This window comes from Homo sapiens, chromosome 15 (genome assembly GCF_000001405.40).
Source record: "Homo sapiens chromosome 15, GRCh38.p14 Primary Assembly".
In the NCBI taxonomy this organism is placed as follows: domain Eukaryota; kingdom Metazoa; phylum Chordata; class Mammalia; order Primates; family Hominidae; genus Homo; species Homo sapiens.
The window spans coordinates 61,668,734-61,685,025 of NC_000015.10; the positions used below are offsets into that span (position 1 = coordinate 61,668,734).

The 16,292-nt window shown below is 37.9% G+C and overlaps 1 long non-coding RNA gene across 1 annotated transcript in view, besides 2 other annotated features; it reads right to left on the minus strand.

The window, feature by feature from the left end:
- Positions 1-16,292, minus strand: part of LOC107984782 (uncharacterized) — a 208,325-nt gene that overhangs the window by 161,872 nt on the left and 30,161 nt on the right. The gene's annotated exons all lie outside the window — the stretch shown is intronic.
- Positions 12,099-12,700: an enhancer, noted in NCBI's record as "NANOG-H3K27ac hESC enhancer chr15:61973031-61973632 (GRCh37/hg19 assembly coordinates)". NCBI's record gives its function as "activates a minimal SCP1, AML or CMV promoter by ChIP-STARR-seq in primed H9 embryonic stem cells {active_cell/tissue: H9 hESC(primed)}" and the evidence as "EXISTENCE:reporter gene assay evidence [ECO:0000049][PMID:30033119]".
- Positions 12,317-12,611: an enhancer, noted in NCBI's record as "tiled region #8834; K562 Activating non-DNase unmatched - State 22:ReprW, and HepG2 Activating non-DNase unmatched - State 24:Quies". NCBI's record gives its function as "activates a minimal TATA promoter and a strong SV40 promoter by Sharpr-MPRA in K562 cells, with weaker activation in HepG2 cells {active_cell/tissue: HepG2 | K562}" and the evidence as "EXISTENCE:reporter gene assay evidence [ECO:0000049][PMID:27701403]".

A 16,292-nucleotide genomic window follows, 5' to 3' on the forward strand; every position in this document is an offset into this window, starting at 1 on the left:
AGGAGCAGAGACCCTGCCAACCCGCAGCGCACTCGTAAAGCGGGAAGGAAATAAGCCTCTGTTATTAGAGTCCTCTGGTTCTCTAGCGTTGTTCATTATAGCTTAGCTTAGCTTAGCCTACACTGATTAATACCAAAATGAAAGGAGCTGTAGAAAACCAGTGTAAACTTTGGAATTGACTTGCAGTTATATCCACAGAAAAGTAAGCTAATGAATAAATAAGATAAACATTGGCTCTAGAGAAAACAAAACGACGTAGCTCAAGAAAGGAAAAGTAACCATATTAGATGGTTGGTTGCGAAGAGCTTTCTAATCATAAACTGGCTTATATTCGGTACCTACAAACTGGTATATTAAAATACTACTGATTGGTGAAAATCTGCTGCCCGGAGCCCCCTTTCATCCTAAATTCTTCCCAAGGAACCCTAGGTCCTTCTCATAAATGAGGAACTAGAGGATTAATAACTGGCATAGTAAGAGTCTTGGGGGATCCTGTCTGGTTGGTGCCTATAAATATTTTGTTCAATGTTTTGAATAATACCCCATTGTCATCATAAGATAAATAATAAAAATGATCTACTCAAAACATTAATATATTAAATCAGGATAATGGGGAACAGGGCGTGTGCATGTGTATGGAAGGAATGAGGAGGAGGAGTGCTAAAACAACTTCAATAATGAGAAAGCAACAGAAAATGCCAAAAACTGAAGACTCAAGAAGTAATAAAAAAAAAAGCATGTTATTGAAAAATATGGACATGAAAGAACTAAATGTTATGAAAGTAGAAAGCCTCTGAGAAGCAGAAAGTTATGCGGGGGTGGGATTGGCTGGTGGGAAGAGGGATGTGTTTCATAGCAAGCTTTGTAGAATTATTAGACCCTTTAAACAATGTGCACATAAAACTTTGAAAAAAATAAAAGCTACATTTTAAACAGAAGCTACAGGACTTTAAAAGAATAGCAGAAAATGTTTCCAAGAAAGATTTGACTCTATTTTAAAAAGAGCCAACTGAGTTGAAAGAGTATTATTGTTGAAGAATTTGACCTAAGCGTAACCAGGGGAAATATACATTTTGAGGATAAAAAGGAAATCTTTAGTTTTCCAGATTGAAGAAAAATGATTATCTACAAAGGAAAGAGAAGACTGGCATCAGATTACTAATTTCATTTAATAATTCTACTGCTCATTTCCTAATCATTTGTGGGCACGCAGCTTTTGTGTTTGGACTTGTAAATAAATAGAACGAGTTCCTGGATATTTTTTAAAATTACAAATAAAATCTATGGCATATGAAATCAGGGAGAAAACCAAAAACCTTTTTAAAATGAAAGGATCTATGACATACAATATATAGGTTAAAAGAATGAGAATATTGTTATATACAAAAACATTAAAGAAATTAATAATATTCTGAAAAAAACTACCAAATTAATTTAATATAAAACTTAAAGATTATAATAAATAGGCCAGGTGCGGTGGCTGACGCCTGTAATCCTAGCACTTTGGGAGGCCGAGGCGGGTGAATCACAAGGTCAGGAGTTCGAGACCAGCCTGGCCAACATGGTGAAACCTTGTCTCTACTAAAAATACAAAAAATTAGCTGAGTGTAGTGACGGGCGCCTGTAATCCCAGCTACTCAGGAGGCTGAGGCAGGAGAATCGCTTGAACTCAGGAGACAGAGGTTGTAGTGAGCTGAGACTGTCCCACTGCACTCCAGCCTGGGCGACAGGGTGAGACTCCGTCTCCAAAAAAAAAAAAAAATAAAAATAAAAAAAAAAAAAAAAAATATATATATATATATATATATATATATATATATATGAAATAAGCAAAGGTAAACATGTTTAAACAGACAGCTGTGCCTCTCTCACATCTCTGGCATAAGTTTCTCTTATTGGTGAGATTTTTAAAACCTTAAGAACAAACAAAAAAGACCATTACAAATGTCTATAAAATTTGATGAACATAGAATGAGAAGCTACACAGTTCCAAGCAAGTATAAAAATGACACAAAACCTGCAATATGCAGGATAAAAACTTATAAACCAATATCATTTACAAATACAGACATAAAAATCTCAACTATAAGAGTAAATGAAATTTGAAAGCTAACTTAAAGACCTGACTATTATAATCAAATAGGGATTATTGCTGGGAGACAAGGACAGATTAGTACCAGAAATAACAATAATTTTAGCAATATGCCAAGTAAGAAAAACCATATAATCTTATCATAAAAAGACAGAAATATAGCAGATAAAATTCACTACCCACTATTTATAAAACATCTTCAAGTAGTGAAAATAGAAGCATGTGTCACTCAACATATAAACATTTGATTTAAACCAACAGGCAATATCATGCTTAAAGCTGATGCCATTAGAGATAGTACTAGTAAAATCAGGCACAAAACAAATATGTTCATAGATAGCTGGCCAGTAATAAGAGGGAGATGGAAAAAAAAGTTATATATATTTAAAAGGAAATAGGAAAATTACTACTACTTATAACAATCCATTGAAAAAAATATTTGAGTTAATTTTTAAAATCAATAAAATTGCTACATAAAGATATAGAACATTTCACAGAGGATGAAAAAACCATTCCCAATAAAACCAAAAATACAAACTACTAAGATAGAATCTTAATGGGAAATGTGTGACCTAGATTGGGAGAAGTGGGGATAGAAGCCTCAAGTGTTTTACTGAAAGATATAAAATAAAACTTGACTAATGGAAAGACTCAGCATGTTTCTTTATGAAAAGCCTAAATATTTTAAGGATGCCAATTCTTTCCAATTAACATATTATGCTTTAAAGCAATTTCAATAAATATCCCAATAGGGGTTTTATTTGTTTGTTTGTTTGTTTGTTTAAACTGGATCCAATTATGGTAAATTTAATTTGGAAAAATAATCAAGTTTAAGAAAATGTAATTATATTAAAAACATAAAATGGGATGAAAGAAGCCCTTCCCAAAACCAGAACACAGAGTAAAATGTCAATAATTCAAACATTCTGGTACTGATGCAAAAATAAACAGCTTAACCAAAGCATAGAATAAATAGAAACTAGAAGAAAATACAAGATTACCAATCAAGGGAAAAGGAATGATTTCTCAACGGGCTGGCTTCCAATCTGGTTGCATAAGGGCCCCAGAGCAGCAGAACACTTTGGACACATGGAAGGGGACATTTTCTTAGCATGACCTTACTAAGTGGGAACTTGCACACCGTCAGTCAAGCGCTGCTGCACATCCTTCCTTAACACGGAGTTATCTAGCTTCATTTTCACCGGAATAGTTTAATGCATCAGAAACCAAACTCAACAGAACACTCTGACCTGGCTTCCTTGATCCACCTCTATCAACTCTGCTCCTTCCCAGCGCTGGGCTTTATCTCCCAAATTCCTCTCTATCTTGTCAGCCCAACTCCACCTCACCCCTTTCAACTAACTTTTACAAATAAAACAGCGCTGTCATACCTGGTTAACTGTTTATATTCTCATATCATATCACAGGTAAGATAAATTCTGAATGAATTAGTTGACTAAAAAAAAAAACAGAAAAATTAAAAGAATAAAAGTGAATATTTATGAGAATCCTTAAGATGATATGAGGTACTATGCTATAAAATGAAGAATGTGTTACAAAGTAAAAGATCAACAAATACAACTACCTGAAGACCTAAAGTGTTATATAGCTAAAGCATAGTGTAGAATAAAGCAAATAACAGGCTCACAAAGCATGATGAATAAAGCATTGGATGAATAGTATAATTATATAAAGAACTCACAAAATTATTTTAAAGCATTAATAATATCCCAATAGAAGCAGAGCTTGCAGTGAGCCGAGATTGCGCCACTGCAGTCCGCAGTCCGGCCTGGGCGACAGAGCGAGACTCCGTCTCAAAAAAAAAAAAAAAAAAAAAAAAAAAAAAAAAAAATATCCCAATAAATATGTAGATAAAGGGCATGAAAGGATAGTTCATGAAAGAGAGTATACTACAGTATTAGTAAATATTTATAAAAATATTCAATTCACTTAAAGAAATAGAAATTGAAATTATTCACCTGATTTTGATAAAAAAACTGATAATACCCATTATTGATACAGCTTCAGGAAAATTGATATTCTTAATATTGCTAGTGGCCATAAAATTATTACAATATATTTGTAAAGCAATTTAGCACTCTTAATCAAAAGCTATCAAAATATTTTTAATTCAGTAATGACACTTCTGGGAATCTAGCCTAAGAAAATAATCTGATGCCTGGAAAAATACTGATGCATGAAGATGTCCAATTCAGTATTATAACTGCAAAGACATGAAACTATACACAAAGTAAAAATAGTAAATTATGATCAACCCACTGGAATTACATTTGAAGCACCAATCAAAATCATGGTTATAAGGATTATGTGGCAACATGAAATATATGCTTAATTTTAGCTGATTACAACTACAAAAAATACATGGCAAAGTACTATAAAGATATACATACTAATATTAATACTACTATTAATAATAATACATTGAGCACCAACTCTGTGCCAGGCACTTTCCACATTCTCTCTAATCTTCATACCAACTCTAGGAAATAGAAAAGCAGGTAACAAGGTAATAACTAGCAAGAGTTGCTGGCATCTTCCTGGAAGGCACAAATGTGCCCACATCACCCTTCACCCAGCTAGCTGCACACAGTGCCTTCAGCTGTCAGTGCTCTCCAGAAATTGTCCTCAGCTGAAGAGCTCAAGATCATACCCCATTCCCAGGGCAAACTGTACCCAACATCTGGTCATTGCAGAGGTATAAGGAACCAGATCCTCTGTCCCAAAAGGCCAATGGGGACAATGCCAAAAGGCCATCCCAGACTCTCAGCTCTTTCTTGTGTGGTTGGCTGGGGCCTCTGTTAAAACTGCACTGCAGCCCAGATTCTCCTTCTACTGATCCTGCTGTCTACCCTACCCCGATGAGGCTGATCCTCAGAGTTTTTTCTAATAAAATCCCTACACACTCATCTCTGTCTCAGAACATGCTATTGGAGGATCTCAACCTACAACAGGTACTACCAAGAAAGGTCCAGGACAGTAGACACTAAAATAGAATTTTGGAGTCAGATCAAGGACACCATCAGGGCAGGTGGAGGAGCACAGACTGCACCTAGCACAAGTTTGCTGCACAACTGCTAAAATGTTCACAAGTGGTGAACTGGGATGGTATACCGGTGGAAGGAGTGCAATAGTCAGCTGTTGAGGAAATATAGAGGAAATAGGAGTTTAAAAACAATGGAATTGAAGGGCTGTTGCTGGGGACAATTGAAACTGTAGAGAAAGATGGTGATGGTGATCATCAATTAAAAGCTGGGTGAAAACCAGAAGGCTTCCTTGGGGGATGGAAAGAAAACTGAAGATCAGGACTAAGATCCAGAGAAGGTTAAGTTCTCAACACAGGCAAAATTAGGGCCCCGATTGGGAAAGACTGGGACCCTGACATGATGGGGTCAACTGGGTTAGTGCAGTAACATGTTTTGATCCCTAGATTCCCCTGAACCATTGGACCTGCAAAGGTGTCCAACTCTTCCCTACTTCAGGCAAGTGCTTCCATTACTTGCAGATGATGCAGAGGCTTCCCCCACCAGACAGTGTATTCACTCCAAACCCCAGAATGTGTCTCTAATTTTCCTCATGCCCAACAAACAGGGTTGAGTCAAAATATAACCTAGGATTTAAGGCTAGAAATTATAGTAAGAAACAAGAACTAATAGCCTACGCAAATAAAAGGCACAGAAGCAAAAGAACTTATAACGGTGGGGATGCTTTGATTCTCTTTGCATCTCTACATCTGAGGGTTTCTGTTGCCCACAAACTTCCACTGCCCTCTCCTGCTTATCCTATGACTGGCCCCTGGTCCTGTCTTCCCTATCCAACTTACCGCTTATTTAGTTAAAAGGCACCCTTCCTGCCTTCCTACCAGCCAAAATCAAGTATTTTAGTCCAAATCTTGTGCCCACACCAAGAGGGTACAGAGCCAGATCAAATAAAGGCAACACATGGCACTGAAACTTAGCTCTTTGGCCCGTGACCCTCTAGCACAATGCTCTGCAGATCTGGTCAGGAATGATAAGTGTTATTGGCAAGTCACAATTATGGGACCTAATAGTCCATATCAAGTAGTGCTTACTTTGTGAAAATTTATTTTCTTATAAATCAACCTAAGGTTGCATTGAAACCACTTAAGATTGCACTTAAAATAATTTATCATCCATATGTTAACAGTAACGGCAATATTTGTCTTGATATTTTAACATCAATGTAGTCTGCTTAAACTATTTCAAAGGTTCTTTTATCCACTATTTTCCAGTGCTATGTGATCCAAACGAAGATAACCCTCTACTATCAGAGATTGCCTGAAAATCAAAAACAAAGAAAAATCAATAAAATATCTTGGGGGCAGTTTCAGAAGTATGACATGCAATGATACTACTTTAATGTTAGAATAGCCTGCATTAGGCCGGGCGCGGTGGCTCATGACTATAATCCCAGCACTTTGGGAGGCCAAGGTGGGTGGATCACTTGAGGTCATGAGTTCAAGACCACCCTGACCAACATGGAGAAACCCTGTCTCTACTAAAAATACAAAATTAGCCAGGTGTGGTGGTGCATGCCTGTAATCTCAGCTACTCGGGAGCTCTCATGAGAATCGCTTGAACCCGGGAGGCAGAGGTGGCAGTGAGCCAAGATTGTGCCATTGCACTCCAGCCTGGGCAACAAGAGTGAAACTCTGTCTCAAAAAAAAAAAAAAAAAAAAAAAAAAAAAAGCCTGCATTACAGGAGAGATAAACTTTAAATAACTGGCACTTCTTAATTTTCTAATCTGGCAACTCTCCTATATGAATTCTTCTTTTACATTTTAATTTTTTTTACATCTCTTTACTCAAGTACACGCTCAACCAAAATGACTTGTTTCTAACTTTGGACAGTAACTGCTTTCAGAAAATGTAAAGCTGTTGCAAAAGAATAGGTAGCTAAGATTCAGAATTTGTCAATATGGAAACTTGTATATTATGTGTCCAATACTTCAATCTAACTTAGTTAATGATGCTAAAACCATTCCTCACTGCTTTAACCTGCTAAGGAGATCCTCTGAGCAGCAGGGAGATGAATACTCAGGTGTCACATGGGAGAAGCATCATTGCTGTAGCAGCATCCATCTTGTTTAAGCCCTGCAGCAATAGAGACTTCATGTACATGATATACTTTTTGCTCATAACTGAGGTGGCTAAAGAATTGGTGCTGAATATATAGCATAAGCAAAACAAAACATGATATATGTTATGCTTGTCAATAAAAGAATAATCTGTTCTTGGTCTCTAGAAAAATAGAAGTTGTGGAACACCTTGATTCAAAAATAGTCTTCAACATCTTATAATTTCCATTTAAATTGTTAGAAGACAACACAGTTAGTCTATCTTCCAATATAATCTTTAATATATCTTACCTGTGAATAAGTGTTGGAAGTTGTCAATGGAAGAGTGATCATCTAATACCTCGGCTGGTAATTGATTTATTTTCCCTTAACCAAGTTGCATAAGCTTATGAAAACAAAAGAATATATAATTGCCATATACATGTATGTACATAAAACATAGCCTTGAAGTGACAATATTATGGGGATAATATATGAAACAAAATCTATAGTTGAAAATTTAATATACTTCTCTCAGAAACATAACACAGACGATAAATAAAATATAAAAAACTTTAATAACACAATTTAATAGACATTTATACCAAATGTAGAACATAAATTTATTTTGAGAACAAATGGAACCTTCAGAAAAGTTATCTAAGTACTGGACTTCAAGGAAAGCTTTTATAAATTTTAAAGAATTAACATTTTATAGTCTATTTCTGTGACCCCAATGCAGATATCAACTACAAAATGATAGATTTACAAAATCTCCTACATGTCTCAAAACTCCTATATGTCTGTCTCATACCTTTGGGTTAAAGAGATGATCATATGGGGAATTATGACATACAGTCATTGCTCTTATAGTATAGTTTATGAATTTCTACAAAAGTACCATGTCATGGAATTTCACACAATAAAAATAACAGGACTCAAGGAGAAAAATAAGTGAGGATTTATAGCAGGCAAAACTTCTAGACATGGCTCCCAATATTTTATGCTCTAATCTCTGGTACCCGTGAATTTAATGACATATCATTCCCATAGTTCTAACATGCTATATGGCACAATGGACCTTAAAATGGGAGATTACCCAGGTGGGCTTAATTTAATCATATGTGCTCTTAAAAGGAGAGAATTTTCTCTGCATAGTGGCGCAGACAAAGATAGAAGATGAAGTCAGACAGGTTGGAAGTGTGAGAAGAATGACATGAGCCACTGCTGGCTTGAAGATGGAGGGGGCCCTCTGAGAAGGAATGTGGGCAGCCCCAGGAGCAGAGAGCAGAGACCAGCTGCAAGGAAACGGGGATCTCACTTCTACAACAGCCAAAAACCAAATTCACTCATCAGTGAGCTTGGAAAAGGACCCTTATCTCCAGAACTACAGCCCCTGAGGAGACCTTGATTTTAGCTTGGTGAGACATTAAGCAGAGGATCCAGCCATACCATGCTGCACTTCTGACCTACAGAAACCTTTGCGTTGTTTTAAGTGACTATATTTGTGGTAATTTGTTACATAGCAACAGAAAACTAAGGAGTGAGACAATAAAAACATGTATAGTTTTGTAAGTAACATGCGAAAATAACTAACACATTCGAAATTGCTACCCGGTTTAAACTCCTTAAATACTTAATAAATATTATAATAAATATAACATGTATTTTCTTTAATTTGTGGCTACAGACTTCCACACATCTTTATTAGATTCTACCTGTTAATTTTGTTATTCAAACTATTGGCACCTTTGCTAATTTTTTTGCCTGTTGGACCTATCTGTAAACAAAAGAATCAGTCGAAATCTCCCAACATGGTGGGAGATTTATCAGTTTATCCCTATGGCTTTATCAACTTTTGCTTTATATATTTTAAGGCTATTTTATTAATTGCATATGCGTTTAGAATTGTCACATCCTTTTCTTGATGGATCAAACGTTTTTTATCATTGTATATTACCCTTTCTAACGCTGATGTTGCTTTCTTGTTTTAAAACCTACTTTTTCTTTTACACTGGTTTTCTTTTGGCTAATATTTACCCAATATATCTTTTCCCATTCTTTTATTTTAAAATTTTCTATTTCATTCTGTTTTAGTCTCATAAAACACATAAAACTATATTTTTAAACCTAATCTAGTAATCTCTGTCTTCTAACTTGGGAATTTAGTTAGATGATTTATATTTATAATGAGTATACAAGGATTTGTTGCTATAACTTTAGTTTCTACTTTCAATTTACTAAATTCTTTGGTTTTTTATTAGTCTTCTTTATTGCCTTTTTTTTAAAAAAAATTGATACCTATAACACTCCTCTAACAAAATAAGAACTTTATCCTGTTCTTATATCACTTGGTCTCTACCCACCCACATTCTCATATTCCAGACTTCCCTCTCAGTGATACTACATAGAATTTTAGTAATGAATTATTAAGCATATGCTTTCTCTTTTCCTTTTGCTTAGCTTTTCTTTACAGTCAAAAAATACCCAATTTTGCTGAAATACTTGATCATTCTTATTTTATATATCTCTTGCCATATCTGCAGGATTTGTTTCTCTACTGATTTGAATACTTCCTTCCAAATTTTTTTCAATATGGATCTTTGTGTTTAAGCCCCATTCACAGCCCTGTAGGCTGAAAATACTTTTATGTTTTCATATTTAAATAATAATATGTCTGGATACAAAACTTTATATCTAAAATACTATGGGTCCTTATAAGAGAAAGACAGGAGGATTAGATACATGGAGATGCAGAGAGGAAGGTCATGTGAAGATGGAGACAGAGATTGGATTCATGCAGCCCCATGCCAAGAAATGCCAGGGATTGCTGGAAACCACCAGAAGTGAGGAGAAAGGCAAGGAAAGGAGTTTCCTTCAGAGCTTCCAGAAGGAAGCAACCCTGCTGACATGTTGATTTCAGGCTTCTGACCTCCAAAATTGTGAGAGAATAAATTTCTGTTGTTTTAAGGTACTTAGCTTGTAATTGTTTGTTAAGGCAGCCCTTGCAAACTATTATGTAGAGATTAGCATCTGTTCATTGTTTCTTCCCATGAGACCAGGTCATAGTTTCCTGGCTCTTAATATGTTGAGCAACATCCTAGATGTTGTAAATATTAAATTGTAAATACTCTGGATTATGTTATATTTATCCAAAGAGTGTTGGCATTTTTGTTTTAGTAGACTACTAATTTGATTCAACTTAGACTACAAACTATCACACCTCAGGTGGGGAGAGAGCATTAGGACTTCAGTTTAGTTCTTTAAGCTTTAGCCGTATTACGCTTCCAATTTGTCCCATGAATTCATGAAACTCAGCCAGAAACTAGGACTGAGTTTGAACACAGAATTTGGAGCTTCTCTTTTTTAGTTCTTTTCTTTTCAGGGTTTCCCCCTCATACTCTGGCCACCCTGGTTGATCTGAGCTCCTTCAACTGATTCCTCTGTCCAAATCTTCAGAGGGGTTTGTTTTAGAGTTTTAGCTGCCACAGAGCCATGGAACTTACTCTGTGGAAGTTGCTTGTTTCGAGATTCAGCACGTCTCCAAAATCCACTTATCTGATTTCAGTCTTGAAAGACTTCAAGGAATTGTTTTTGAGATTTTGTCTAGGATTTATAGATTTTGTTTATGGGAGAATTGGCTTGTTAGATGCCTGCTTCTCCAAACTTAGAGCAGAACTCAGCCTCAGTGTTTTTTTTAAAAACTCTTTAGGTGATTCTAAGGTAAAAGGTAGAAAACTGCTGTTGTAAGGTTTAATCTGGGGTTGATTTAGGAGTGGAAGCCAATAGCCATGTTAACAAGCTGTCTACACAAGAACTGGAAACCAAGCTAGAACAGGGGCTCATGTTCATTTGCCTCTGGTTCAAGAGCCCAAGCTCTTAGAGACTCTTATAATTGGCTGAAATTAAAAGAAGTAACTTTAGTTTCAAGACAAAGTAATCGTGTAAATATTTTATCCTTTTTGAGATTAGGACTCAAGATTCTGTTTTTCCCTCCTTTAAAACCAGTTTGACTTAATATTCATTTTTTGAAGTAACGTAAACAATATATTTATTTACATTCATAGTCCCATCACACTATCCATTGAAAAACAAGAACAAAAACAGAAGCCAACTTAAGCCTTTTATAAGCAGATACTCCTCTATGAATATCAGCAATCTGTATTTACAACTATGCCGTTCGGAGCAGTGTGGGCAACACAGCGTTTGACAGAGTTAGATCAGTGAATGCTGCATTTATCAAATGGCTAGTAGTAATTAATAGCTTCCATGTGAAATCTCATATTCTTAATAGTAGAAAGAATCTTTCCCAGATCCCCTAAAGGCAACTTCATCAACCATTATTTCCTTTGTCACTTAAAAAGCAAAATAGCCCAGGCAAACTCCAATTTGAAGCTGTTCATCTCAGCCCCTGCCTTGCATCAAAATTGAAAATGTAATTTCCAGCCCGTCTTCACAAATGGAATTGTTGTTATTATTCAGTTTTCCATATGTGAGGAGCTGTCACCTCTGTCAACTTCAGCACATCTCCATTTGTGACTCCAAAACCATACTTACAGGTCTGAACACACGCTGTGCATCTCAAGTGAAGAGGTAATTTCTCTCCTAATGCACCAACAGCCCCACTGATCAGAGCCAAGTCCCTGGTTGGAATATTTGCTCCTATCATTTCCTAATAACATATTAATGCATCTAATGTCCTCCACAAATGCCAGACATCTCTGCCTTTTGGATATTTCCTGACAGGAGATCCAAGTATTGTTATTACCTAGTGCCAGAGGGATGCCACTTAGGATAAGATTATATTTTATTATCAGTCCTGCTTCATGGAAACCAGCCTCTGGATGCGACAGTTTTGCTCAGACATCCTCTCTCACCCTAACTATGACCATGACTCAGTCCTTTCTTATGTAGAACAAAGTCTATCCCTCTGTAGTTTCTATCCACTCCAGGGGCTCACCAGTTGGGAATAGACAAACGAGATTTGGCATCAGAAACCATCTGAGACCCAGGAGATAACTTCAGAGGTGGGTGTGGAGGTTGGTATAGATAGCCCACCCAAAGGGCATCAACTAATAATCATCCTAAGCATAATAACAAAACCAAAACAAAACCCAGTATTTCCAAATTCTAGGAGTGAAAAAATTTATCTCAGGAGTGAAGACAATTTTTGAAGTTATGAGTCTGCTGTGGGTTTTTTGCAAAGAAGGAAAGGGACTGAAACAAAGAACTGAACTGATCTGCATGATAAAGCAGGTCATTTGGAGGGAGAAGCTATTGCATCATAAACTGAGTGGGGGGTTCCCTGGGATATCAGGAAGAGGAAGTGCCAGAGGAGGCAGATGTGTGGGGAGGCAGAGTTGAAGTAAGAGAGAAAATGAAAGGGAGGGTTCTGCTGCAAATGAATTAAGGCATTGGCCCTTCCCATCACATAGGATGGTGCATGTCACTGATGGTCTTCGGGAGCGAGTATCTGAACAAGTCTTCAGTTCCCATCCCCCTAGTGCTCCCTGGTCCTCAAGTACTCAACTGTGTTAAACACAAGAGTCCTGGGATGTGGTGGGGAAGCCTGTGTCCATACCTGGGATAATGAGTGGTGGGGAGGACAGTGTTGCTTTTGCTTTTCATCTCCTGTGGTTAGCTGGAAGTGGCAGCAGAGAACCTTGAGAGGACGAGGGTCTCAGAGCACTGGCCACAAAGTGAATGGAGCAAGTGCTGGTGAGTTACAAAATGACAAGGAGCACAAAACAGACTACTCTTTCTTCCAAAACAGTCCAGCCTGGACCCTTCTATGATGTGTCTAGGACACAGGCAGGGAGTGATAACTAAGTTATACTGAGTACAGGTGGTGAGCAAGGATGTGTCATGGGAAGTCAAACATGGGACAGAAAAATCTGAAATCAGACAAGGAGGGCTCAGATGCATTTTACCTAACTGCTCACCAGGTGCTACAATGCTTTTATTGACTCAGCTGTTGGTAAGTTTTCTCTTGTCCTGGGTTCAGATACTATCTCTTCTTGATGTGTTTGCAGAGCAGCCTCTTAACCAAAAAAGACATCTAACCAAGGCAAAAAAAAAAAAAAAAAAAATCGTCTTTCTATATAGTAAGATCCCTAGCCACTGAATTCTTTGAGAGCAAACGATATTTAAGCTCCCCTAGCAACTTTAAGATTATTGAAATTCAACCCTAAAGAAGCCCCTCAAAGCAATCAGTGCGGAGAAGCAACTCTTTTGTTTTCCTTCAAAGGCTCTCTGAACCTAACAGGCGGACATAGCAAGGACAGATGTTCTAAAAAACTGCAAGTATTGTCAGGGACTCTGACTCTCAACTGGTTAGAAATAAGAAGGGAGTTAATATTTATTGAAGTCCTACTTTGGGCCAGACTATGTCAGGCATTTTCACATACACATGATCACCCTGTCCTTACAACTCCTCTGTAAAGTAGGCATTGTAAGGAAAAACGGGCGTAAGTCAGGAAAGGATAGCATTGGCCCTCAGGTCTAACACCAAAGCCTATGGTCTTTCTACATTGTCATCCTGTTTCAGAAGGTGCACACATCACAAAGGTACAGCTCAGTGACTGTTCACAGGACATTGCGGTACCTCTGGATGACCATAGAGCATTCCTGTGGTTCCAAGCTGAGGGTTGCAAACTTGTTGTACATCATGACTTTAATTTAATGGGTCTTGATCAACATTTTTTAAATAAAATCAAATAGAATAGAAAATATTACAGTACATTGCACAAAGTATAGGTAAGAAATAATTTGTGAAAATGTGTATGTGAAAGAGTTTATTTCAAAACACTTCAAAGACAGTTAATAGAAATTAAGATAGAAACTATTGAATAGCAGTCTTAGGACATTTTATTGGTCTCACAGTGTTCCTCATGCAATGAGAGTCAGCAAATATCCTGAACCAATCTCATTCAGAGACAGAAAAGCTTAGAAAAGAATGCCGATAGCCAAAATCTCTGCAACATCCCAAGCCCCACATTATTGGTTCCAACCCCCATCCAACACATTACCATAACCCCTACATCCATGAAGAGGAAGGAGGAGTGGGCAGGTGGACCCCATCTATGTTGGAGAGCTATGTTGGGCAGGAGCCTCTGGTCCTAGAAGGCTCTGACCCCACCTTCTCCACTGGCCATCAGGGTCCTTATAGGCCTCATCCTACCATGCACCTGACCCTTTGATGTTCCAGATAGGCCACAACCAGTAACCATAGGCCTAACCTCAAAAAGTCTGGCTTTCATATGCCAGATAGGAAAAAAACAGATCACCTTCCCCTTTCTCACCAGTGACCTTTCTGGCAGCCATTGGGCGCTGTGTTTATCTAACAAAGGTATCCCAGCTTTATCTGGACTGGCTAGAAGCACTCTGCCGGTGTTTGTCCTGTAAACACTTTCCTGCCTTGAGACACTCTCTAGCAATGATGGGGGAGGGGGATACTTTGGAACATGTTCCATGCCACCCTCTCCAAGTTTATCATTAATTCTGTTTAATATGACACCTCTGTGTGCTACTATAACTACAGTAAGCATTTGCCTTCCATTCCTTCCACACTCTCCATTTTTCAAGCATCTCTAAGCAAGGCTCTTGGCAGTACATATACGGTATTGGCAGAAAACGGAGGAAATGATCCTTGCTCATAACAGTAATTCCTCACATTTATATACAGCCTTATAATTGACAAAGCACATTCCGTGCTTTATCTCAATTTATCATCGGTACAGTAGGCACTAACCTAACACTCAGAATTCTTAGAACCTCAAAAATCCCAGAGGCTAAGCAACTTGCCCATGCTCACAGGCAAGTAAGCACTGGAATTGGAACCGAAGCCCGACCTTGCTAACTCTAACAGGGCTCACTGAAGACAAGCCCACCATTCTGGGGCTATAATAACAATAAAAATCACTGACACTATAGAGAATGGGATGGGCTCTGCTCTCTGTTAAGCATGGTCCACAGAGCATCTAATTTGTTCTTTGTAGCAACTCCTTAAGGTAGGGAGTATTATTTGGCCCATTTTGCAGGTGAGTTAAGAGAAGCTTCGAAACAGTACATGTACTTGTCCAAGGAACCTCAGCTAGAAAGCGGCCCAGCTGGGACTTGGGCCCGGGCAGATCATGTCCTACACCTATCTTATACGTAGTCCTTCCTTAGTCCTGTAACTCATTAGATTCTCTTTACATTCTTCAGGCTATTTAGGGTAGGTATTATTATTCCTTTTTATAGATGAGGAATTGAGGCCTAGAAGAAAATGTTGATAGACACAGAATTTCAAGGGTTGAAAAGGATACTAAAGGTCAATTATTTCACTTTTTTTTTCTTTTTTTGTAAGAGATGAGGAAATGAGCCTAGAGACATGCAGTAACTCTCCTATGTCACACAGCTCATTAGTGACACAGCCTGGATGCAAACCCAAGTCCCCTGAGCCCATGTTTCTGCCTCAGAGGGCTTCTCCAGGTTCTCAGTGGGAGAATAGCCATTTCTGTGCTATTGATTTAAATTCCCTGAGCCTCAGTGTATTCGTGTGCTCAGGTTGCCATAAACAAAATATCAAAAACTAGGTGGCTTAAACAACAGACATTTATTTACTCACTGTTCTGGAGGCTGGAAGTCCAAGATCAAGGTGTTGGCAGGTTTGGTTTCTCCCAAGACCTCTCTCCTTGGCTTGCAGATGGCTGTCTTCTTGCTGTGTCCTCACAAGTCCTTTTCTCTCTTCACACCTGTGCTCCTGCAATCTCTCCCTTTTCTTGTAAGGAGGCCAGTTCTATGGAATTAGGGCCCCACCCACTATGATCTCATTTAACCTTAATTACCTCTTTAAAGGCCTATTTTCAAATACTGTCACACGGAGGGTTAGGGCTTCAACCTATGAATTTGGGGGGCAACATAATTCACTCCATAACATTCAGTTTCCTGATCTCTACCATGGGGACACTATTACACCTCTCACCTACCACTCTTCCAGGACTATTGTGAGGATTAAGTAAATAAGAAATTATCTGACACTATGCCCAGCTCAGGGCAAAGGCCTGATTCATGGATGTTTGCTTCTGCCCTGCACTCCAAGTTGGGTAGAGAGTGGAGGATGGA